Source organism: Homo sapiens, chromosome 4 (assembly GCF_000001405.40).
Source record: "Homo sapiens chromosome 4, GRCh38.p14 Primary Assembly".
In the NCBI taxonomy this organism is placed as follows: Eukaryota; Metazoa; Chordata; class Mammalia; order Primates; family Hominidae; genus Homo; species Homo sapiens.
Genome location: NC_000004.12, coordinates 68,927,419 through 68,953,899, shown reverse-complemented (window position 1 = coordinate 68,953,899; position 26,481 = coordinate 68,927,419). Strand labels below are relative to the sequence as shown.

The window sequence follows — 26,481 nt, the reverse complement described above, 5'->3', positions numbered from 1 at the left end:
TTATATTTGGGAAAAAAGGCAATGGAGAGGACCCTTTAGAATGAACTCCTGAAGTATAATTAGGATTCTAAAAGACAACCTCCAAGGAGAAAAAAAAGAAAAAATGTTCAGAATAAATCAAGGACTATATACCGAAAGGAGATCCAGGACTCAAGAGGACATACCAGTTCCACTGGAGAAGAAGCTCAAAATTGGAGAGGCATTCAGTGGGCCTCTGTTGCTACCTTAGCTTCAAGTTCAGGCAAGTTTTATGGTGTCCTGAGTTTTGTCTGAGGCCCCACATGTTCAAGTGTCAAGTTGTTATTGATGAAAAGAGTCGAACACTTTAAAATATTTAAAGAGGTTTATTCTGAGCCAAATATGAGTCAGTAATGGCCTGTGATTTATCCCTCCAGAGACCCTAAGAACATGTCATCATGGTGCTCAGGCTACACAGTTTTAATGCAATTTAGAGTGACATTAGACATCAATCCATACATGTAGGTTATATATTGACTTGGTCTGGATAGGCAGGACAACTGGGAGTGGGGCTTCCAGGTCATAGGCAAATTCAAGGATTTTCTATTGGCAATTGGTTGAGTTATATTGTTGTCTAAGTTATAGAATTAACAGACAAGAATGTCTGGGTTAAGATAAAGGGCTGTTAATACCAAGGTGTTATCATGCAGATAAAGCTGTCAAGCAACAGGCTTCAGAGAGAATAGATTGTAAATGTTTCTTATCAAAATTAGTGAGTCTGTTCTATTGGTTTTAAAGTCTGCGTTGATGGTAGTGCTAGTGAGTTTTTCCTGAATTCAGAAAGGGGGGAGGGTATAATGAGGCATATCCTATCCCACCACCCCACTTCTCATCATTGCCTCAACTAGTTTTTGAGATTAACTTTGAAATGCTCTTTGCTGAGAGTAAGGGTCCGTTTAGATGGTTGGGGATTCCTAAAATTTTATTTTTTGTTCACATCTACATACAGTTGTTGAAAATTTGAACAGTAACTACAGGAAAAATAACCCAGTTAGATGATATTGATTCTGAAAACTGCTCTAAGTTTTGTGCATAATATTTTACCTAATGTCATTATCAAACTTCTGCTTATTAAGACAGAAACCACAACCATGTCTTTTCTCCTACACATTTTTTCCTATCTCAGATATTATCAGTAAATTCAAATTTTAAATTAATTTCTTGCATTTAACTATTAACAATTTATGTTTCATTCTATTAGGTTGACATGTCTCAGTAACTAATATATAATTTTTATCGTTTTCCCTGTTTTAAACTCTTACCTTTACATACCACTCTGTGTTGAGATGCAAGAGTTTCTTGCTAAAGAAAAGGTTGATCTTGTGACTATCCTTTAAAACTTGAGTAAATAATTATTTGCCTATAAATTATGATTCAAACTCATAATTTTTTATTTAAAATTATGTTCTCCAATTTCAAACTAACTTTCTTCTGTAACGTCCTGCTCTGAACTTTCTCTGTGACCACTACTCACTGGAATGATTTTCAAATATCCTATACTTTTGTATGCTTCTATCGATTGTGAAATGCTTCCTTTGGCAACAGTAAATCCTATCAAAGCTTTCATCTCACCTCCTAAGTCAAATGCCTTATTAAAGCTTTTATTATTTCATATTAAAGCAATTGTGCATTTTCCCCTCTGAAATACTGAACACTTTGTACTTATTATATAAAATTAGTCAAAATAGTTACCCAAACTCTCTAAGTATATTCTCAGTAAACCTTTGTATTGTCCTTGTGAGCAAGGGATGTGAAACATGTGCTGTCCTAAACCATCTGATGCCTTGGACTTAGTGTGGAATGAATGTAAGTGTGATTGTGTGCATGTTTCTGCACATGAATTATTAAATCTAAAGACTTGAAAAATTTTTTTCTTTATCATCAATCCAGGTAATAAAAGTATATTTATGTATTTTATTTCTAAGTTCTAGAGGGTTGGAACAACTTTTCCCTGATACATTGCATTTTTTTGATACCTTCAGTACATGTTAAACTGGCAACCACCAGTGAACTTTACTCTTAAAATATTAATTTTTAACTTCTGTGCTTATATTGTCATTTCAACTCCTTGCTTAGTAACTACAAAACCATTGCAGATCAGTGTGTGAGGGAACTGCCATCATGAGGTCTGACAAGTCAGCTTTGGTATTTCTGCTCCTGCAGCTCTTCTGTGTTGGCTGTGGATTCTGTGGGAAAGTCCTGGTGTGGCCCTGTGACATGAGCCATTGGCTTAATGTCAAGGTCATTCTAGAAGAGCTCATAGTGAGAGGCCATGAGGTAACAGTATTGACTCACTCAAAGCCTTCGTTAATTGACTACAGGAAGCCTTCTGCATTGAAATTTGAGGTGGTCCATATGCCACAGGACAGAACAGAAGAAAATGAAATATTTGTTGACCTAGCTCTGAATGTCTTGCCAGGCTTATCAACCTGGCAATCAGTTATAAAATTAAATGATTTTTTTGTTGAAATAAGAGGAACTTTAAAAATGATGTGTGAGAGCTTTATCTACAATCAGACGCTTATGAAGAAGCTACAGGAAACCAACTACGATGTAATGCTTATAGACCCTGTGATTCCCTGTGGAGACCTGATGGCTGAGTTGCTTGCAGTCCCTTTTGTGCTCACACTTAGAATTTCTGTAGGAGGCAATATGGAGCGAAGCTGTGGGAAACTTCCAGCTCCACTTTCCTATGTACCTGTGCCTATGACAGGACTAACAGACAGAATGACCTTTCTGGAAAGAGTAAAAAATTCAATGCTTTCAGTTTTGTTCCACTTCTGGATTCAGGATTACGACTATCATTTTTGGGAAGAGTTTTATAGTAAGGCATTAGGTAAGACACTTTTGTTTTATTTTTAATTTAGTTATCAAAAGAAATATTTTTAAAAATTGTCATACATTGTCTATGACATATATATGCAGGTCAATGAGTTTTTTTAGAAAATGTTGTAGCTGTTTTTCATAAAGAAAGTGTATTTGTTCTAAGCGTAAGATAACCTACTTTCTTAATACCAGTAATATACTTAAAAATGATCATCAATAACTAAGAGATTATATTTTGTATTTCCTCCAAATAGCGCAAATCAACATCACATATTTTTGAGAATCACTGATTGTTAGTCTGAATTTTATAGAATTTCTATTGAAATAAAATGCTAATCATTATTTTCTCTCTCATCATGTATTTAAGAAAATCTTCAGAAGGTCTTCTTTGAATTAATTTTTCAAGAGTCATTAAATTGAACATTTTCTAGAATTCTTTAATTTCTTAGGTGATTACTTCACAAAAACTTGAAAAAATATTATAAAAAGTTAAAAGACTTACGGTCTTGTGGGGCATAAGATAGTAGAATTTTTACTTTACTGATATACACCTACTTGACTTATTTTTATTTCCTTGCTTTACTGATAAAAAGTTGTTTTGCTTTGCAATTTTCATATAGTTGTGATCAGAGCTGGTCAATGCAAGACATGTTTTTATCCAAATATGTTTGAGAATTATGTAGAAACATGAAAAAAGGTACAATTATATTCGACACTAAAATATTGTTTAATGTATTCCAACGAATTCTTATGCATAGACTGTTTCACAGAACTAATATTCAGAGGATCCCAGTTCAAATGTCCTTAGCCTTAGACATGATTTGAATTTACATGTATTGATTTGCTTTAAATAATTTTCCATTCAGTAAGCTGTGCCTAGCTGCAGATAGCCTACCAGGCTTTATGGATCTAGGTAAACAATACAAATCTCTTGGCCTCAAGTCTACATTCAGATATTAATTTAAAGGGGTACAGCTATATAGAGGTCACTGGCAAATTTTGGTAAAATAGGATTATAGTAAAAGCCCCCTGACAAGATTGAAATTTAAAATAAAACAAAAGTGTTATCAAAGGGGTGAAAGAGCATTTTCCAATAAACAAAAGTGGGTTCTGGCCATGCATTCAGAAATTCCCCAACAATTCTTTAAAAATCATGGAGCAGCTTGATATATAAGAAATTCATTTAATAACTATATTTATTATGTAGCTCCAACTTACTAAATTATTGATTATTATATATTTTATAGAATTATCTATTGTGAGTCTAAATCAAGAGTATATATTCAAACAACTATAGGAAAAGGGATATCAGTCAATTTCAATTCAAGGATTTATTTCCATAAGTGCTTACGCACAGGTGTATTTCATTTTATTATACATTGCTTTATTGTCCTTCACAAAAATTGCAATTTACAAATTAAAGGTTTTTGAAAACCTTGAGTCAAGCTAATCAATTTGGCGTAATATTTCCAACAGCAAGTGTGTACTTTTGACTCTATCACATATTGGCATTTATCATGCTTTTTCAAATTTTTCATTGTTATATCTGTTACGGTGATCTGGGATCAGTGTTCCTTGATGGTTACACGTTTATTAGCTTGGGGGCACCTTGATGTGTTACAATATAAGACAGCAAACTTAATTATAAATGTTGTGCATGTACTAACTGCTCCGCTGATTCGTTTCCCCATCCCACTTCTTCTTAGGCCTCCCTATTCCCTGAGACACAGTAATATAACATACAATGACTTCTAAATGTTCCAGTGAAAAGAAAAGTAGCAGGTCTCTCAATTTAAACCAAAAATATAAAGGAATAAGTTTAATGAGTACTATAGTTTAGATATGGTTTGCTTGACCCTACAAAATCCTGTGTTGAAATTTGATCACCAATATTGGAGGTGGGGCTTGATGGGAAGTGTTAGGGTCATGAGGGTAGATTCCTTATGAGTACATTAATGCTCTCCCTGGGGAAATGGGTGAGTTCGTTCTCACTCTATTAGGTCCCAGGAGAGATAATTATTAAAAAGAGCCAGGAACATCCACCTTCTTTCTCTTGCATATCTCTCATTATCTGATCCCTGCACTTGCTGGCTCCCAACATCTTCTTCAATGAGTGGAGGAAACCAGAGGTCTTCACCAGACACAGATGTTGGTGCCATGCCTCTTGTATACCATGAAGAATTGTGAGCCAAATAAAAACCTTTTTCTTTTACAAATTAGACAGCCTCAGTTGTTCCTTTGTAGCAACAAAAAAAGCCTGGGACAGGCCAAAAACTACACCATTGCACCAAACAGTTAAACAAGATGTGAGTGCAAAGGAAAAGTTTTTGGAGGAAATTAAAAGTGCTACTCCAGTGTACATACAAATGATAAGAACAAATAACCATTATCAGTGCTGATATGGAGAAAATTTTAGTTGTCTGGAGAGAAAATCAAATTAGCTAGCTAGCTGCAGTGATTCATATCTGTAATCCCAGTAACTTGGGAGGCTCAGGTGGGAGAACGGCTTGAGCCCAGAAGTTTGAAGTCCAAGGCTGCAGTGAGCTATGATTGCTCCACTGCACTCCAACCTAGGTGATAGAGCAAAACCACTACCAAAAAAAAAAAAAAAAAAAAGAAAAAAAAGAAAAGAAAAAAAATTAAACCAACCACAACATCACCTTAGGTTTTGGCATTAGCTAAAAACTAATACATAGTAAAGCGTTAACTATTCAATTGCATGAAGCCTCAGAGAGGAGAGGAAGATGCAGAAAAAAAGACTGAAGCTAGTAGAGGTTGACTAATGAGGTTTACAGGAATAAACTGCCTACATGATGCAAAAGTTCAATGTGAAGCAATAGGAAGTCATGCAGAAGACTTAGCTAATATACTCAGTAAATGTGGCTACAGTAAACAAATGATTTTCAATGTAGACCTAACAGCCTTCTGTTGGAAGAAGATGCCATTTAAAACTTTCATAGCTAGAGAAGAGAAGTCAATGCTTGTCTTTGAAGCTACAAAAAACAGGCTGAATCTCTTGTAGTGGCTAATGCAGCTGATGACAAAGGTAAAGCCAATGCCCATTTACTTTTTGTAATAATTATAGAGGACTCTTAATAATTATGTTAAATCTACTTTGCCTGTGTTATATCAATGGAACAACAAAGCCTGGATGATATCACATTGGTATATGACATGGCTTATTGAATATTTTAAGCACACTGTTGAGACCTATTGCTCAAAAAAGAGGATTCCTTTCAAAATATTGCTGCTCATTGACAATTCACATGGTCAACAAAGGGCTCTGATTAAGATGTACAGATATTAATGTTTGCCTGCTTGCTATTATTACATCCATCTTACATGCCATGGATCATATAGCCTTGACTTTCAAGTCTTATGTAAGAAATATATTTTGTAAGGCTATAGCTCTTACTAATGGGGAAAGTATATTGAAAACCTTTTCAAAAGGATTTTTCATTCTAGATTCCATTAAGAACATTCATGGTTCATGAGAGGAAGTCAACATATTAACATTAACAAGAGTTTGGAAAAAATTTGATTCTAACTCTCCTGGATGATTTTGAGGGATTGAAGACATCATGTGAAGAATTAACTGGGGATGGGGTGGTCATGAAAAAAGAAATAGAATTATAAGTGGGCCTGAAGGTTTGTCTAAATTGCTATAATATCATGATAAAACTAAAACCTGTAAAACCGGTGAGGAGGTGCTTTTTAAACAGTTACTTTTTATAGATGAACACAGAAATTGGTTTTGTGAGTTGGAATCTTCTCCGAGTGAAAATGCTATGAACATTGTTGAAATGGCTACAAATGACTTAGAATATTACACAAAATTAGTAGATAAGGCAGCATCAAGGTTTGAGAGAATGGACTCAAATTTTGAAAGAAATTCTACTATGGGTAAACTGCTGTGAAACATCATCATATGCTACAGAGAAATCTTTCATGAAAAGATGAGTCAATTCATGCAACAATCTTTGTTGTCTAATTTTAAAAATTGTCCAGCTGCCCTGATCAATCAACAGTAATCAGCACTGAGGCAAGACCCTACACCAGAAAAAATAAAAATAAAAAACCTCACTTGCTGAAGACTCAGCTTATTATTAGCACTTTTTAGCCATACTTTTAACTAAGGTATGTGCATTCCTTTTTAAACGTGATGATATTGCACAGCTAATAGCCTACAAGGTATGGTTAACATAACTTTTATATGTCCTGGGACCCAAATTTGTGTGAATCACTTTATTGGCATATTCCTTTTATTGAGATGAACTGCAACTTATCTTGCAATATCTCCAAGATATGTGTGTATGGCATTTCAAATAAGATGTGAAATTATTTTATTAGTATAAAAAGCAAATTTAATTTTCTTTCCTTTGATCATCTTTATCCTTGTTACTGTGTATTTATCCTTTAAACATTGAATGACTCCAATTGTTTAAAACTGAGTCTTTCTTAAATGAGTCCTAATATCATAGTAATTAAAATCACCTACAAGTTGGTAATGCAGGCAGCATGTGAGGCACAGAAAACAACAAATTTATAAGACATAAATGCATTTGCTTGGAAGCTGAGAGAAGGCTCTATTCTAATTTCTGATAACTTCAAACTGAGTATCTTCAGTAAAATTTATTCACTATCAAATTCAAGGCGTTTGGATTTATGACCTAGGAAAAAACTTCAAACATTAAAATGTGATGACCTTAAAAAGAGGCTCTCCACACTATGGTGTATAACACCACCAACTTTGATTAGAATTTTAAAGAGAAACAAATTCTCTTATGGAGTTTATCTTTTTATCACTTGCAAAATATGTTTTTGTAAAGAGATACTAATTACTTAGTTATTTGTAGTTAGCCATTCTTCTGATTAAAAACCTAAAATTAAATCTTGAAAATGTGTTTTCCTTCAAAACACATCATTTGAGAGAAACACTAAAGTAAGTGTATGATTATCATAGCATGTACATAGGTGCTTCACAACCCAAAAAGAATATTGTCATGGGTAAGAATCAGTAAAGGAATTTCTCCTAATAAAACAGTAGCCTATTAATTAAAGTAATGATATGCAATACAGCAAGTTAAAGGGAACTGATCCTGGTGGGATTATTGAAAGATATACCCTTGACTATAGATTAGAAAATACAGAGATGTTATTTAGTGAAGATATTGTGGTACTCATTTATCATCTGCAATTCACTTGCAGAGGAAAAAATGAGTAATAAATTCATTTGCATTTTGGATTTGTGTCTTTAAGTTGTGAAAATACACTTAAATATAACCATCTGTCCTTTGCTCCTTCCTTCCTTCCTTCCTTCTTTCCTTCCTTCCTTCCTTCTTTCCATCCTTCCCTCCCTCCATCCTTCCTTCCTTCCTTTCTTCCTTCCCTCCTTTCTTTCTCTGTCCTTCCTTCTTTTTTCCTTTCTTTCTTTTTTCTTCTTTATTATTTCATTAATTCCCCCTTCCATTTGACGTCTAAAAGCCATGTTGTTCTAGAGGACTTAAACTTATTTTTTTCTTAATAGCTTACTGAAAAATTAGTGATACAATTTTTTATTTGAATTGTATGCTAATTCATTCTGTTATTTCTTTTATTGAGGAAGGCCCACTACATTATGTGAGACTGTGGGAAAAGCTGAGATATGGCTAATACGAACATATTGGGATTTTGAATTTCCTCAACCATACCAACCTAACTTTGAGTTTGTTGGAGGATTGCACTGTAAACCTGCCAAAGCTTTGCCTAAGGTAGGACTATTGTATTAAGGAATATTATGTACTTTATGACATGACTTGTTTTCCCTTGAAAGATTACAACCTTAGTTATAGAAGGATGATGTTGAATGTCTTCTGTTTGCAGCTCCATATTTATTTTCCATGCCACAGGGGCTCTTATAGGTGATTATATGTCTTTTCGGTATTATATTGAGAAAGTAGGCAGAAGAATGTCATGATTAGAATAGATTTTAAAATACTAGTATTACAATAGTTTGGATAATAAATTGAATTAATAGGGAATTGGAGCCATGAAGATCACTAAAAAGAATGCTCTAGCCTTTCTCACAATCAAATTGGGCTTATGAACAAGGATATTTGTCATGATAGTACAGAAATAAGCATATTTTCATGAGACATATTGGATATATTCCACAGGAGTTGGTGAGTGAGAGAAAATAAGTGATGAAGGAAGACAAAGAATAAAAGAAAATTTCAATAAATGGAAAGTTTAAGTGTTTAATGATAGTGATGACTTTTACTCAAATAAGTGCTTAGAAGTCATCTTGTTTGTGATTTATATGATGAATTCTGTGTTGTGACTATCCACTTTGAGCTCGTGAGAATGTTAGGTGAGGTTTAATAAAAGCCATTTGAGAAAAACAAGGTTTCAACCTCTGTGGACAGAAATCTAAATATCGATAGTTATCAGGACAAAGTAGAGCTCATAGAAATAATTTTGCAGCCTGCAGGTTTCTTTTGGAGTGAAAATAAAATTGTATACTATATTCCTAAATCATCAGAGGAAAAAATTTATAGTTCAAGGAATGTTGAAAGAAACAATATTGAGAAGTAAAAGTGAGTAATAGTTGTTATAGTTTTTTAATAGTTTTGTAAGTATGTCTTGAGTTCACTGTCCCAAAAGTGGCTATTAGCTCTAGCCTTGACCTGACAAGGTTCTAGGATATTTAGTCATGGATGTTCATAATCTACCTCTTACGGGATACTTTTTATTCTGATGAACAGCCTAATGCCTAAGTGTGCAATCTATACCAAGATTGTTCTTATAGGGAACTTGTTTACACTGGAAGACACCACTGTGTCTCTTGTATGACCTATGTCTTCTTTATCCCTACAAAGGTAACCACATTATAGGAAACCCTGACAAGGCCAGATGTTATATTTGTGTTGGTCAAGTGAGAAAACATGGGAGAAACTTAACCAAACACATAAAATAACAGAAACAGTCTTCTTTGACCATTTCTAGAGAAAAGAGTTCAGCATCCCTTGTAAGGCCACTAGGAAGAAGAAAATTCTCTGGGAAAAGCACATTCAACCAATGAATGGAGACCAAGAAAGAGAGTGAGGGATCTATGTGCCAAAATGTTAACTGGGATCCAGGGTGTTACCTAGGTGGGTTTCCAATGGGGAACTGTAATTGGTAGGTTTAATGCAAGCAGGCACAAAGTCCATGGAGGCATTCTGAGACTGAAAGATAGTCACTTTGGCATATCTGCACAGAATCTGATCAGTGATTCAAGCCCAAGTAGGCTGTATCTAGTTGTCCTATAGGGTGGTTACCAGGAGGCAGTGTGTAAGTAAAAATCCTGACTGAACACATTGAGGAAATGGAAGGAGGTGGAAGATTTTAAACGGTGTCAGTGTTGACTAAGACCTGCTTCTGGTATGGAAAATTCAACTTATATTTTAAATGCATAGCCAGACAACATAAAATTATAAGAATTTACCACAATAGCTATGGTAACAATACTGGGTTTACCTATTACTACAGAGTGAAAAGAAAACCCTCATTTCCCATTTTATGGAAATATAATCAAAATCCTATAAGGAAGGTTTCAGAGCCAGTAGGATTTCCAGAAAAATTATTGGTTTTATAGTAAGATGTGTATTGATGAATATAATTTTATTTATTAATTATTAATATCACTTTACTTACCAGGAAAGTTATACCAGAAAACCAAGCTCTCTTAAGCCATGGCATCTGTATCTAAAATAGAAATACAGAAGGAGAGCTGACAATTTCCATCATTCTCTAGGTAATCTCCCATGCCATTCTACCCTTTATTCCCACACTCCCAGTTTTACACACACACACAAACACACACACACAAACACACACTCATAGAAATAATCATAGAAGTCATATTTTTAAAAAAGTTAGATCCATACAGTAATAATTTATTAGGTAAAAGCTTTTGTGCTGATAATTTTACAAGTTTAATTGAGATATATTTTAGGGCTGTCTTACACTAAATATTTATTTTTATTTTTTAAATTTGACATGTAATAATTGCACATGTTTAAGAGAAATGCTGTGGTATTACAATACATTTAAATGTTGTGTAATAATTACATCAAGATAATAAACCCATCATCTAAATATTTATCATTTCTTTGTGGTGATAACATTCAAAAACCTCCTTTCTGGCTATCTTGAAATATGTAATACATTACTATTAACTATAGTTACCCAACAACTTAATATAATAACAGAACATATTCTTCCAAATTTAAACGTTGTATCCATTGATCCACCATTTCTCATTGCCCTCCCTACTATCTCTTCAGCCTCTAGTAACCACAATTCTACTCTCTAATTATATTATGAATGCATTTTTTGATTCCACGTATAAGGGATACCATGCTATCTCTGCCTGGATTATTTCAGTTAACATTATGCCCTGGAGGTTCATTCATGTTTCTACAAATGACAGGATTTCATTCTTTTTTTTCCAATATATATTTAATGAAATGGATATATATAAACATTGGAAAATGTATATATATATATATATATATATATATATATATATCTCCAGTGGAATGCTATTGAGCTATAAAAAAGTTAATATATAATAGAAATAAAGCTTATATATATCTAATGGAATGGATATATATATATAATGGAATAGAAATATATATCTATACATATAAACACACACAATATACATATCCATTTCATTGCATATATATATATAGAGAGAGAGAGAGAGAGAGATATTTTCAAATGTGTGTATATATATCCAATGGAATGGACATATATATATGTATATTTTTTCCATATTTTCTTTATGTATTTCTTCATTAATGGATGTTTAGGTTGATTCATCCCTTGGGTATATGAATAATGTTGATGTAAACATAGAAGGACAGATATCTCTATGACTTCTTAGTTTATTTAAATATACACCCAGTAATGGAAATGCTGTATAATATGGTAGTTCTATTTTCATTTTTTGAGGAACTACCATACCGTTTTCCTTACTAATTGTACTAATTTGCATTTCCCTCAACAGTTTATAAAAGATCTTCTTTCTCTGCATACTTTCTAGCACTTGTTATTTTTGCCTTTTGATAATAGCCATAACAGGGGTGATGTGATATCTCATTGTAGTTTTGATTTGCATTTCCCTGATGATTAGTGATTTTGAGCATTTTGTAATTATACTTCTTAGTCACTGATAGTCTTCTTTTGAGAAGTGTCTATTCAGGTCTTTTGCTTATTTTTTAATCAAATTAGTAATTTATTTTTATTGACTGATGTGACTTCTATGTATATTTGAGATGGTAACTTATTGTCAGATTCATAGTTTGCAAATATTTTTCATGTTGTGAATTGTCTCTTCACCCTGTTGTTTGCTTCATTTTCTCTGCACAAGCTCAATGCTTTGATATAACCCGTTTATCTACTTTTCCTTTTGTTGGCTGTGCTTCTGAAGTCCTATCCAAAAAAATCCTTGCCTAGACCAATGTCACAAATCATTCCTCCTACAGTTTCTTCTAGTAGTTGTATAATGTTTGGCCTTATATTTAACTTTGTAATTCATTTTTACTTACTTTGTATATGGTGAGGGATAGAGGTCTAGTTTCATTTTCTGCATGTGGATATGCAGTTTTCCTAGCACCATTTAGTGAAGAGGTTGCCTTTTTTCTATTATGTGTTCTTGGCACCTTTGTCAAAAGTCAGTTAGCTGCTATATTCCTCCATTTGTGTTGTTATAGAGGAACACATGAGACTAGCAAATTTATATATCAAATAGAATTATTTGAATGATAGTTCTGCATACTGTACAAGAAGCACAGCACTGACTTCTGCTTGGCCTCTGGTAAGGTTCTCAAGATGCTTCCACTTGTGGTAGAAGGCAAACATGAGCTGGTATATGCAAAGGTCTCATGACAAGAGAGGAAACCATAAAGAGGGGATGTGAGGGAGTGCCAGGTTTTGTAAAACAACTAGCTCTTCTGGGAACTAATAGAGTAAAAATTCGCCTCCCAGGCAGGGGATTAATCTATTCATGAGGGATCTGCTTCCATGACAAAGGCACATTCTGTTAGATTCTACCCCCAATATTGGGGATCAAATTTTAACATGAAGTGTGGAGGGCTCAAATATCCATACTATGGCAGCAGTAAATGCATAAATTTATTTTGTGGATCTCTATTCTATATAGTATTGGTGTATGTATCTGTTTTCATGCCACTGCCATACTGTTTTGGTGATATCTATGCTATATATGTGTGTGTGTATATATATATTATATATATGTATATATGTGTATATTATATATATGTATATATGTGTATATTATATATATACAATACTTTAAGTTTTATATATATATAAAATACTTTAAGTTCAAGGGTACATGTGCAGGATGTGCAGGTCAGTTACATAGGTATACATGTGCCATTTTGGTTTGCTGCATGCATCAACTCATCATTACATTAGGTATTTCTCCTAATGCTATCCCTCCACCAGCCACCCAACCCCCAACAGGCCAGGTGTGTGATGTTCCCCGCCCTGTGTCCATGTGTTCTCATTGTTCACTTCCTACCTAAAAGTGAGAACATGCAGTGTTTGATTTTCTATCCTTGTGATAGTTTGCTGAGAATGACTGTTTTCAGCTTCATCCATGTCCCTCAAAAGGACATGAACTCATCCTTATTTATGGCTGCATAGTATTCCATGGTGTATATGTGCTACGTTTTCTTAATCCAGTCTATCACTGTTGGACATTTGGGTTGGTTCCAAGTCTTTGCTATTGTGAATAGTGCTACAATAAACATATGTGTGCATGTGTCTTTATAGCAACATGATTTACTATCCTTTGTGTACATACCCAGTAATGGGATAACTGGGTCAAATGGTATTTCTAGTTCTAGATCCTTGAGGAATCCCCACACTGTCTTCCACAATGGTTGAACTAATTTACATTCCCACCAACAGTGTAAAAACGTTCCTATTTCCCCACATCCTCTCCAGTATCTGTTGTTTCCTGACTTTTTAATGATGGCCATTCTAACTCACATGAGATGGTATCTCATTGTGGTTTTTGTTTGCATTTCTCTGATGACCAGTGATGATGAGCATTTTTTCATGTGTCTTTTGGCTGCATAAATGTCTTCTTTTGACAAGTGTCTGTTCATATCCTTTGCCCACTTTTCAATGGAGTTGTTTGTTTTTTTCCTGTAAATTTGTTTAAGTTCATTGTAGATTCTGGATATTAGCCCTTTGTCAGATGGGTAGATTGCAAAAATTTTCTCCCATTCTGTAGGTTGCCTGTTCACCCTGATGGTAGTTTCTTTTGCTGTGCAGAAGCTCTTTAGCTTAATTAGATCCCATTTGTCAATTTCGGCTTTTGTTGCCATTGCTTTTGGTGTTTTAGTCATGAAACCCTTGCCCAGGCCTAAGTCCTCAGTGGTATAGCCTAGGTTTTCTTCTAGGATTTTTATGGTTTCAGGTCTAACATTTAAGTCTTTAATCCATCTTAAATTAATTTTTGTATAAGATGTAAGAAGGGATCCGTTTCAACTTTCTACATATGGCTAGCGTGTTTTCCCAACACCATTTATTAAATAGGGAATCCTTTCTCCATTTCTTGATTTTGTCAGATTTGTCAAAGATCACATGGTTAGAGATGTGTAGTGTTATTTCTGAGGCCTCTGTTCTGTTCCATTGGTCTGTATATCTGTTTTGATACCAGTACCATGTTGTTTTGGTTACTGCAGCCTTGTAATGTAGTTTGACATCAGGTACCATGATGCCTCCAGCTTTGTTCTTTTTGCTTAGGATTGTCTTGGCAATGCAGGCTCATTTTTGCTTCTATGTGAACTTTAAAGTAGTTTTTTCCAATTCTGTGAAGAAAGCCATCGGTAGCTTGATGGGCATGGCATTGAATCTATAAATTACCTTGGACAGTATGTCCATTTTCATGATATTAATTCTTCCTATCCATGAGCATGGAATGTTCTTCCATTTGTTTGTGTCCTCTTTTATTTCATTGAGCAGTGGTTTGTAGTACTCCTTGAAGAGATCTTTCACATCCCTTGTAAGTTGGATTCCTAGGTATTTTATTCTGTTTGTAGCAATTGTGAATGACAGTTCAATCATGATTTGGCTGTTTGTCTGTTATTGTTATATAGGAATGCTTGTGATTTTTGCTCATTGATTTTGTATCCTCAGACTTTGCTGAAGTTGCTTATCAGCTGAAGGAGATTTTGGGCCGAGATGAAGGGGTTTTCTAAATATCCAATAATGTCATCTGCAAACGGGGACAATTTGACTTACTCTTTTCCTAATTGAATATCCTTTCTTCTTTCTCTTGCCTGATTGCCCTGTCCAGAGCTTCCAATGCTGTGTTGAATAGGAGTGGTGAGAGAAGGCATCTTTGTCTTGTGCAAGTTTTCAAAGGGAATGCTTCCAGTTTTTGCCCACTCAGTATGATATTGGCTATGGGTTTGTCATAAATAGCTCTTATTATTTTGAAATGTGTTCCATCAATTCCTAGTTTATTGAGAGTTACTAGCATGAAGGGTGTTGAATTTTGTTGAAGGTGTTTTCTGCATCTATTGATATAATCGTGGTTTTCCTCGTTGTTTCTGCTTGTGTGAAGGATTACATTTATTGATTTGTGGATGTTGAACCAGACTTGCCTCCGGGGATGAAGCCAACTTGATCATGGTGGAAAAGGTTTTTGACATGCAGCTGGATTCGGTTTGCCAGTATTTTATTGAGGGTTTTTGCAGTGATATTCCTCAGAGATATTGGTCTAAAATTCTCTTTTTTTGTTGTGTCTCTGCCAGGCTTTGGTATCAGGACGATGCTGGCCTCATAACATGAGTTAGGGAGGATTCTCTCTTTTTCTATTGATTGGAATGGTTTCAGAAGGAATGGTACCAGCTCCTATTTGTACCTCTGATATAATTCAGCTGTGAATCCATCTGGTCCAGGACTTTTTTTGGTTTGTAGGATATTATTGCCTCAATTTCTGAGGCTGTTATTGTTCCATTCAGAGATTCAAATTTTTCTTGATTTAGTCTTGGGATGGTGTATGTGTCCAGGAATTCATCCGTTTCTTTAGATTCTCTAGTTTATTTGCATACAGGTGTTTATAATATTCTCTGACGGTAGTTTGTATTTCTGTGTGAACAGTGGTGATATCCTCTTTATCATTTTTATTGTGTCTATTTGATTTTTCTCTATTTTATTCTTTATTTGTCTTGCTAGTGGTCTATTTATTTTGTTGATCTTTTCAAACAACCAGCTCCTGGATTCATTGATTTGTTGAAGGGTTTTTCGTGTCCCTATCTCCTTCAGTTCTGCTCTGATCTTAGTTAATTCTTGTCTTCTACCAGCTTTTGAATGTATTTGCTCTTGCTTCTCTGGTTCTATTAATTGTGATGTTAGGGTGTCGATTTTAGATTTTTCCTGCTTTCTCTTCTGGGCATTCAGTGATATAAATTTCCCTTTACACACTGATTTAAATGTGTCCCAGAGATTCTAGTACTTCGTATCTTTGTTCTCATTGGTTTCAAAGAACATCTTTATTTTTGCCTTCATTTTATTATTTCTCTGGTAGTCATTCAGGTGCAGGTTACTCAGTTTCTATGTAGTTGTGCAGTTTTGAGTGAGTTTCTTAATCCTGAGTTCTAATTTGATTACACAGTGGTCTGAGAGACTGTTGTGATTTCTGTTCTTTTACATTTGCTAAGGAGTGTTTTACTTCCAATTATGTGGTCAATTTTAGAATAAGTATGATGTGGTCCTGAGAAGAATGTATATGCTGTTGATTTGGGGTGGAGAGTTTAGTAAATGTCTACTAGGTCTGCTTGGAGCAGAGCTGAGTTCAAGTCCTGGATATCCGTGTTAACCTTCTGTCTCCTTGATCTTTCTAATAACAACAGTGGGGTGTTAAAGTCTCCCATTATTATTGTATGTCTCTTTGTCGGTCTCTCAGGACTTGCTTTATGAATCTGGGTGCTCCTGTATTGGGTGCATATATATTTAGGATAGTTAGCTCTTCTTGTTGAATTGATCCCTTTACCATTATGTAATGACCTTCTTTGTCTCTTTTGATCTTTGTTGGTTTAAAGCCTGTTTTATCAGTGACTAGGATTGCAACCTCTGCTTTTTTTTTTTTTTTTTTTTTGCTTTCCATTTACTTTGTAGATCTTCCTTTATCACTTTATTTTGTGTCTATGTGTGTCTCTGTATGTGAGATGGGTCCCCTGAATACAACATACTGATGGTTCTTGACTCTTTATACAATTTGCCAGTCTGTGTCTCTTAATTGGGCCATTTAGCTCATTTACATTTTAGGTTAATATTGTTATGTGTGAATTTGATCCTGTCATTGTGATGTTAGCTGATTATTTTGCTCATTAATTGAAGCAGTTTCTTCATAGCATTGATGGTCTTTACAATTTGGCATGTTTTTGCAGTGGCTGGTACCAGTTGTTCTTTTCCATGTTAAGTGCTTCCTTCGGGAGCTCTTGTAAGGCAGGCCTGGTGGTGACAAAATCTCTCAGCATTTGCTTGTCTGTAAAGGATTTCATTTCTTCTTCACTTATGAAACTTAATTTGGCTGCATATCTGATTCTGGGTTGAAAATTCTTTCCTTTAAGAATGTTGAATATTGGCCCCCACTCTCTTCTGGCTTGTAGGGTTTGCTGAGAGATCCACTGTTTGTCTGATGGGCTTTCCTTTGTCGGTAACCTGACCTTTCTCTCTGGCTGCTTTTAGCATTTTTTCCTTCATTTCAACCTTAGTGAATCTGACAATTATGTGTCTTGGAGTTGGTCTTCTCAAGGAATATCTTTGTGGTGTTCTCTGTATTTCCTGAATTTGAATGTTGGCCTGCCTCGCTAGGTTGGGAAAGTTCTCCTGGATAATATACTGAAGAGTGTTTTCTAACTTGGTTCCATTCTCTCCATCACATTCAGGTACACCAATCAAACATATATTTGGTCTTTTCACATAGTCCCATATTTCTTGGAGGCTTTGTTCCTTTCTTTTTACACTTTTTTCCCTAAACTTGTCTTCTTGCTTTATTTCATTAATTTGATCTTCAATCACTGATATCTTTTTTTCCAACTGATCAAATCGGCTATTGAAGCTTGCGCATGTGTCATGACGTTCTCATGCTATGGTTTTCAGCTCCATCAGGTCATTTAAGGTCTTCTCTACACTGTTTATTCTAGTTAGCCATTTGTCTAACCTTTTCTCAAGGCTTTTGTCTTCCTTGCGATGGGTTAGAACATGCTCCTTTAGCTCAGAGAAGTTTGTTATTACAGACTTTCTGAAGTCTACTTCTGTCAGCTCATCAAAGTCATTCTCCATCCAGCTTTGATCCATTGCTGGTGAGGAGCTGCAATCCTTTGGAGGAGTAGTGGCGCTCTGCTTTTTAGAACATTCAGCTTTTCTGCTCTGGTTTCTCTCCATCTTTGTGGTTTTATCTACCTTTGGTCTTTGATGTTGGTGACCTACAGATGGGGTTTTGGTGTGGATGTCCTTTTTATTGATTTTGATGTTATTTCTTTCTGTTTGTTAGTTTTCCTTCTAACACCCAGGTCCCTCAGCTTCAGGTCTGTTGGAGTTTGCTGGAGGTCCACTCCAGACCCTGTTTGCCTGGTATCACCAGAAGAGGCTGCAGAACAGCAAATACTGCAGAACAGCAAATATTGCTGCTGGATTCTTCCTCTGGAAGCAAATATATTATGCATATATATATATATATATATATATATATATATATATATATACATACATACATACATACACACCTCCTTGTCTGGTGTGGGATCAGGGTAATGCTAGCCTCACAAGATGATACTGAAGTGTTTTTGCCTTTTTGACTTTTTGATGGTTTGGAAGAGTGAGAAAAAGTGTTATTAATTATTCTTTAAATTTTGTTGAATTTCATAGTGAAGACCTTAGCTCACTGGCTTTTTTAATGAGACTTTATTACTGATTTAAACTTCTTCTTCATTATTTATTTCTCCTTGTTTTTATTTCTTCATAATCCAGTCCTATTTTATGTGTCCACTAAATTGTTTATTTTCCTAGATTTTTCCATTTATTGGCATATGCATGTCCATAGAAGCCTTTTATAGTCCTTTTCATTTCTAGTGTCATTTTTTTCCTTTTTTTTAAGAATCCTTAAGATTTTAGAGATGAAATGTCACTTTGTTACGCATACTGGAGTGCGGTGACATTATTATAGCTCACTGAAACCCAAACTCCTGAGTTTAAGCAATCCTTCTACCTCAAAATTCCAAAATTCCTGAGTAGCTGAGACAGGCATACACCATCAAGACTGGCTAATTTATTTCAAATTTTGTAGAGATGGGTTCTTACTAAGCTATTCTCAATCTTTGGGCTTCAAGTGATTCTTCAGCCTCTGTCTCTGAAAATGCTGGGTTTATAGATATGAGCCTCTATGCCTGATTTGCTTTGTCTCTTTGTAATCTCCCATTTTATTTGTGTCTTTTCTGGTTTGTTTCATTTTGTTATGTTTTCAGTTACCTTGCTAAAGCTTTGTCGATTTTATCTCTTCAAACAACTAACTCAATATTTTGCTGATTTTCCATATAGTATTTTATTTCTATTTCATTTATTTCTGCTCTAATCTTTGTTAAATATCTTGTTTTCCTAATAATTTTGAGTTTCCTTGTTCTTGTTTTCTAATTCCTTGAGATGTTATCATAAATTGTTTATTTGATATCTTTCTACTTTTTTGATGTGTGTGTTCGTTGTTGTAGACTTTCCTCTTTATTATTCTGATTTCTTCCTCAATTCTCTAATATTATGATTGCATTATTTTCCAAGTTTCTTTTGTTTTTTTATTTATAGTTTATGTGATTCCTGAACTTGTCAAAGAGATTATTGTGAATTTGATGTCGGATATTTAAGCATTTTCAAAACTTTTGGTGCATTATTGAAATTTTATTGGTTTATTTTAGAGATGTCATACTTCCCAGTTTTTTTTTAACAATACTTGCTCTTTATATTGATGTCTACATATTTAAAAAGATAACCACCTGATTCAGCTTTTTAAGGTGATATGCAGTGGTGTTAAGTGTGTACTGCTTAATATCAGAGCTGAATCACTGCCCTGAGGATTCTTTCTGTTCTGAGGAGAGCTTGTAGTTAATAGCAGAACCTAAATAGTGCAGTAGAGCTAAATCTCTTCCATGCTGTTGTTTTCCTGTCTGGGGAAGACTTATCATGACCATGAAAACATAATGCTGTGCCAGAACTTAAACCCAAACCTGTAGTAATTTCTGAGTTGAGGAAGGCTTAAGAAATAACTGGAACTTAGTTACTAACCTGATAGTTGTTTCTGAGTCAGAGAAATGCTCTGCATGATCACCTGGGATATTTGTAAAATCTAACCAAAGATTCTAGCCTTCCCTTGGATTGTGTCTCCTGTACTACTGTAGTGCTGGCTAGGTCCTCATCAGTGAATTCCCTGCTGATAGGACCACAAAGCATCTGCCAAGATCTGTTTGCCATTTGCTGTGATTAGTGCTTCTGCTCTTTGCTTCCAATTCAACTCAGGTGGTTCAGCCCTTCTGACACTCCTAATACCTCCTGTGGGATGGAACATAGAAGGCTTCTCACAATGATTCACACACTGATATGGAGATTGAATGTCCAGTTGCAACTATTTTCTTCCACCTGTGTAATTGCAGGTACAGGGAAGTTTTCTGTGACTGATGCTATTTTGGTTTGGAGAATGGGGTGATGTGGCACAATGATCTTTCTTCTTTCTGGTCATGGATTTTTTAATTTCCATGAACCCATAAGATTTTTCACTTTTCTTCTGAGCTCTGGTGCTTTCAGAGTGGTATTTTTATATTCGAATAGTTGCTAGTTGTACTTTTAAAAGCGATTGATGCTGGAGGTCTTCTATTCCACCATCTCGCTGATGTCAGTCCTCAAATAATAATTTTATATTTTAGCAAATTATTTTGGTTTTAGGATTTTGTGTCTACGTGACACAGACATGAAAAGAGATGTACTCATTACTGAAACTTTTTGCATACTGTTTTGGTTGTGCGCCTTTTCTAGTATGAATGATTACATATTTAAGCCACATGTTTTATACATAGACTGTCCTTTAAAGAGACTAGATAGTTCTGTGTGTCAGCATATAGGGACAGAATATAACTACACATTAATAATTTCTCAAGTATTTATTTTAGAAGTGTAAGTAACCTTTATTTTAATTTTTGTTATATTATGCCTCTGTAATGCAGATAAATTTTTATCTTCAGGAAATGGAAAATTTTGTCCAGAGTTCAGGGGAAGATGGTATTGTGGTGTTTTCTCTGGGGTCACTGTTTCAAAATGTTACAGAAGAAAAGGCTAATATCATTGCTTCAGCCCTTGCCCAGATCCCACAGAAGGTCAGTAAAACCTCCAATCCTGATAAGCAGCTATTCACATAATGAAACAGTATGGTTTTATTTGGGTCTTGAATCTCATTTTCCACTTAGCATAACAGGTACCAAAATTTGCAAAACATTATAGTAGTGTACATGGGCATAACTGATCATTTGCCTACTGAGTCTTGCTGTTACTGGAAACAACTTTCTTGATTGTCATTTGTTTATAATAAAATAGATATAATAAATAAAGCCCTACCTTATATTTTAGGATTTGAAATCTAAAAGCGTGTGCCAATGATTCCAAAAAAAAATTCTGACATCTATTATTTCAAAGGACCAGAAAAAGGAAAACTGATATAAAAAAAAAAAGAAGAATCAATCTCAAGAATATCTTCTCATATTTGTGTGTATAAAAACTGTATTCAGGGTAGTTTTGCTTAGAAATAAAAGCTCAGATTAATGTAGTCTTTCTAAATAATTAGAAGTTTCAAAAGTAAAATGTCAATTACAATTATAGTATAGTAACAATTATTTAAGTAATGTAATTATTTATGATACTCCACTAATTTTAACTTTATTATTACTGTAATTCTAGAATTTCACACTTTAGATAGTGCTATATATAAACTATCCAAAAGATATTTCATTTTATATTTAGCTAAAATACTTCAAACTCAATAAAGGCAAGCATACTAATTAGGAATTTGAAATATTGTAATTTTAATTATGAAATTATCTGTTAAGTAGTTTGAAACATCTATGCCGTTCTTTGTTTTCAAATGTATAAAATTTGTATAGGTGTCCAACAAAGAAAAATTGTGTAAAAAAAAGGTACAATCTCAAAGAAAATTTATCATTGAACAGTGGAACATAAGTAATTTTCTAGCTCATTCTTCTTCAATAAAACAATTAAATATAAGAAGAAAGAGGCCAGGAAGGAAATAGAGAAGAAAAGACACCTGATTATCCAAAAGACACACATAATTGAAAGCAAATTTTTATCTGCAGGGAACTGTAAATTTGATGGTAGAATGAGATTGGCTCCATGAGTTAAAATGACACACAGATCAGGTACTTATAAAATTTTTAATTCTTATATAAAAATAGATTAGCCACTGCTGAATTATTTTTTTAAATATTCACTGGTATTCTCATTCTCAAATATTTTTAATTGGTAATAAAATAATAATAGCATACCTAATAGGCAACTGGTACACATTATTTTAAAAGATCTTTGTAAAACGTCCTACTATATCTTTCAGTCTTTACGCGGTAGCTCTACACACCCCTGTCTCAACCATCACCTGAAGTACAATGAGTTTATAATTTATAACTATATCTACATCCTTAGAATGCTAATATCCTGTGGTTCACTCTGTGAAATACATGTGTTTCTTCCGTAGGTGTTATGGAGGTACAAAGGAAAAAAACCATCCACATTAGGAGCCAATACTCGGCTGTATGATTGGATACCCCAGAATGATCTTCTTGGTAGGTCTATGAGAAAGTAAAAATATGAACTAGACGAGGAAAAAATGAATAAATGTTAAACAGCAAGCAAATTCAGCAAAGATCTAAAATTATAAAACTTTATTTTACTTACTCTTTTGAAGCAGATATAATTAAAGGATTGACTAAAATTGTATAGATTCACACTTTCTATTGTTAAGGTGAGAGTGACAGGAAATTCAGAAGGAATTAATGCCTATTTTTCTGGAGATAGAAATGATCTTTAGTAGCAATGCTCCATGTGCTCACCTTCTAAAGAAAGTGCTGTACGCTTCAGTGAGTTATCTCGTAATTCCCATCTGTAGTCTTTAAATAATTTTAAAAGTTTAGAATAAAATATCTCACCATTTCTCATCCAATTTACATACTAGGTCATCCCAAAACCAAAGCTTTTATCACTCATGGTGGAATGAATGGGATCTATGAAGCTATTTACCATGGGGTCCCTATGGTGGGAGTTCCCATATTTGGTGATCAGCTTGATAACATAGCTCACATGAAGGCCAAAGGAGCAGCTGTAGAAATAAACTTCAAAACTATGACAAGCGAAGATTTACTGAGGGCTTTGAGAACAGTCATTACCGATTCCTCGTAAGTACTACTGCTTGTACAGACTGATCTAACATTGACTATGTTATACATTATACCAGAAAATGTTAAATATCATCCTGGTAGACATGTTGAGGGATTTTACTCCACAATATTGAGTCATTCATCACCTTGTTACTGGAATAGTTGTGGAAATTGTAGTTCATAGAGTGTCAAACTTTCTTCATGGAAATATTAGGTTTAAGTTAACAACTGGCTTACTAAGCTTTTATTCACATCTTAATTTTACCCCATTTTGTTAAGAATATACTCTTTCAGTCTCTCCACTATATCTGTTTAATACTATGTAACCAACAATATTCATGTCACAACCAGAATCAATCTTTTACTGAACATGTTCTTGGCTTGCATAACATATACTACGGTTTATCTACCTGTCTTTTATGAAAACAAAACTACAACTTTCTAAGTTCTATGTGTGTTTTTCCCTTCCAGTTATAAAGAGAATGCTATGAGATTATCAAGAATTCACCATGATCAACCTGTAAAGCCCCTAGATCGAGCAGTCTTCTGGATCGAGTTTGTCATGCGCCACAAAGGAGCCAAGCACCTGCGATCAGCTGCCCATGACCTCACCTGGTTCCAGCACTACTCTATAGATGTGATTGGGTTCCTGCTGGCCTGTGTGGCAACTGCTATATTCTTGTTCACAAAATGTTTTTTATTTTCCTGTCAAAAATTTAATAAAACTAGAAAGATAGAAAAGAGGGAATAGATCTTTCCAAATTCAAGAAAGACCTGATGGGGTAATCCTGTTAATTCCAGCCACATAGAATTTGGTGAAAACCTTGCTATTTTCATATTATCTATTCTGTTATTTTATCTTAGCTATATAGCCTAGAATTCCACGATCATGAGGTTGTGAGTATATCTCATTCTTTCGTTGTATTTTCCTAGGTGTCTTTACTCTCTTCTCTCACTTTGTGACACAAGGACATGAATACATCTAAATTTTCCTATTTCTGATATGACTGTTTTGATGATGTCATTACTTCTATAACCTTAAGTGATAGGGTGACATGCAATATGATTATTCCTGGTGTGCGCCCAAACACATGGATATAAAGAGGTAAAAAACTTAAAATTCACAAAATTCAGTAAACCACACAAATCAGGTAAGTGTTCTATGAGATTAGCTGGCTATGAGAAACATAATGATGTTTCTTTTTCAATTTAAATAAGCCCTTCTACATAGCCAGCATCAGTGATCTCAGAAAATAAATTGCTAATAATGATGACATGGCATTATGCTTAGAAAAGTTTGCTGTATTTCCATAGACCTCATCTAGATGTCATGGCCTACATTTCTGCCATCACTCAACCAATACTTTTTTCTGTTTTCTTGATGATAAAAAGACCTTTCTCATGATTGCCATCAAATAACAAAAGAAACTATTTTTTTTCTCACATAGAGAACATGTCAGTAAGATATTCAAGGTGAACAGATTATTTTTGGGATTAGTAACTATTTGAAATATGTGGTGATAATTACTGAGTTTATAAAATTTATTTGATAGTACACTTAAAGAAGATTTATATGTTTATTCTTTAAAAATGATGAATACTCATAATTCTTATCTCTATAATCAAAAGTATAATTTACTGTAGAAAAATAAAGAGATGCTTGTTCTGAAAGTAAGATCAGTGAACTGCTTTTCAGTCTCAATCTTTGAGAATTGTAAATTCATCAAATAATTGCTTACATAGTAAAAATTTAAGGTATTAGAAAACCTGCATAACAAATAGTATTATATATTAAATATTTTGATATGTAAAGCTCTACACAAAGCTAAATATAGTGTAATAATGTTTACACTAATAAGCAAATATGTTAATCTTCTCATTTTTTTACTGTCATATAATCTTAGTGATATGCCTATTAATAGTTTTAAATAAATAAATTGGCTCATCTGGCTTTTTGAAAATTTTGAAATTCTTACAGATGTTGATTAGGTATATCTACAAATTAATTTCAATTTTAAAATGATGATATAAAAATAAATATAAGTATTTTTCTTGTGTATGTATACAATAAATATAAATAAAATTGTTTACTGTTTTGAAAGTTTCTTAAGTTTTTACACTGATATGTTTTTTGACTTTTACAATATTATTATAATCTAGGAAAAGCTGATTATATCTGTTTTAAGCCTCATCTTTTCTCTGTAATTAAACACAGTAATTTATTAACATGCTGTGACAGGTGGGAAGCCATTTCTGGAGTTGAGCCTGCTGACACTCTGGAGCTTTTTAGGTTGGACGTTCATTGTATGTGGGACTCTCTGCCTCTCGATAGCTGTTGCTCATAAGACTCTCCTTCATCAATCTGGCATTGAATTTTGAGATCAGTTGCAATCAGAATCCAATTGGCCTTGCCGTTTTAGTATGTTCTATCTTAACCAGCAATTTCTAACCAGGAGCCTGCCCAGGTTTGTTCTGTCTTCCCTGTAAGAAGCTCCCAGCATAAATATTCTAAATTTTACACTACTAATCTATTAACCAACCTTTGGACCATGTTCACTTTAGGTTGAGCATAGTGTGATGAGATGCAAATTAAATTACAATCCTATAGGTGTGTGTTATAAATTTTAAAGTGTATAAATTAAATAACACATTCTAAGTATCCAACAAAGGTCAAAAAAATGATATAAAGTCACCAAACCAATGCTATTTGAGCTCATCTTATTTCAGAAATTTTCTGGTAATATCACCTTTTGTTTTTTTAAATTATATCAATTATTGCAAACAAAGGAAATCTCAAAGGAATTTTTAATAATTACCTAGAATCTCACTTCTAGACCTAGCAAATAACAGCAAATTCCCATATTTTCATCACATTGTCTTTAAAATTTGCACATGGTGTGGTGGCAAAATTGTTGTTTTAAAGGTGACAGAGTAAGAATGCCCTGTCCCTGTTTCCCCATGCAGAAAGAGACTTAACAACATCATATAGACCAAATTGCCATGGTGATAATCCCAGAAACCAGTGAAAAGATTACAGCACCCCAGAAAAGAGCAAAACCAAGAAGAATTTTATTGAAATATCTTAAGAAGTGTTGTATCATATACTCTCTATAGATCCTTCTCTAGCCAGTACAGCATTACACAA

At 34.1% G+C, this 26,481-nt stretch overlaps 1 protein-coding gene across 4 annotated transcripts, besides 1 other annotated feature; it reads left to right on the top strand.

Annotated features, from left to right (window-relative positions):
• Positions 1–2,095: 2,095 nt before the first annotated feature.
• On the top strand, positions 2,096–25,437 carry UGT2A3 (UDP glucuronosyltransferase family 2 member A3). 4 transcript variants are annotated; one of them, NR_024010.2, is made up of 7 exons: positions 2,096–2,854; positions 8,446–8,594; positions 10,522–10,618; positions 21,141–21,272; positions 22,658–22,745; positions 23,135–23,354; positions 23,808–25,437. NR_024010.2 is itself a non-coding variant. In NM_024743.4 (6 exons), the coding sequence occupies exons 1-6, from the start codon at positions 2,140–2,142 to the stop codon at positions 24,085–24,087; spliced, it is 1,584 nt and encodes a 527-aa protein (NP_079019.3). In that variant the 5' UTR covers positions 2,096–2,139; the 3' UTR covers positions 24,088–25,437. The 4 variants fall into 4 exon arrangements, 3 of the variants coding, with proteins under 3 accessions (NP_079019.3, XP_011530549.1, XP_047272133.1); NM_024743.4 differs by lacking the exon at positions 10,522–10,618; XM_011532247.3 differs by lacking the exon at positions 10,522–10,618 and having other exon boundaries at positions 21,123–21,272.
• Positions 23,241–24,440: an enhancer, noted in NCBI's record as "BRD4-independent group 4 enhancer chr4:69795178-69796377 (GRCh37/hg19 assembly coordinates)". NCBI's record gives its function as "activates an origin of replication core promoter dependent on BRD2, P300/CBP, MED14 and CDK7 cofactors, and independent of BRD4, by STARR-seq in HCT116 cells {active_cell/tissue: HCT116}" and the evidence as "EXISTENCE:reporter gene assay evidence [ECO:0000049][PMID:35650434]".
• Positions 25,438–26,481: the final 1,044 nt, after the last annotated feature.

Coding starts and splice junctions, on each gene's coding strand:
- UGT2A3 (XM_011532247.3), top strand. CDS start 2,140: ATGAGGTCTGACAAGTCAGCTTTGGTATTTCTGCTCCTGCAGCTCTTC. Junction 8,595..21,122: donor CTGCCAAAGCTTTGCCTAAG/GTAGGACTATTG, acceptor TCTGTAATGCAG/ATAAATTTTTATCTTCAGGA. Junction 22,746..23,134: donor ACCCCAGAATGATCTTCTTG/GTAGGTCTATGA, acceptor TTTACATACTAG/GTCATCCCAAAACCAAAGCT.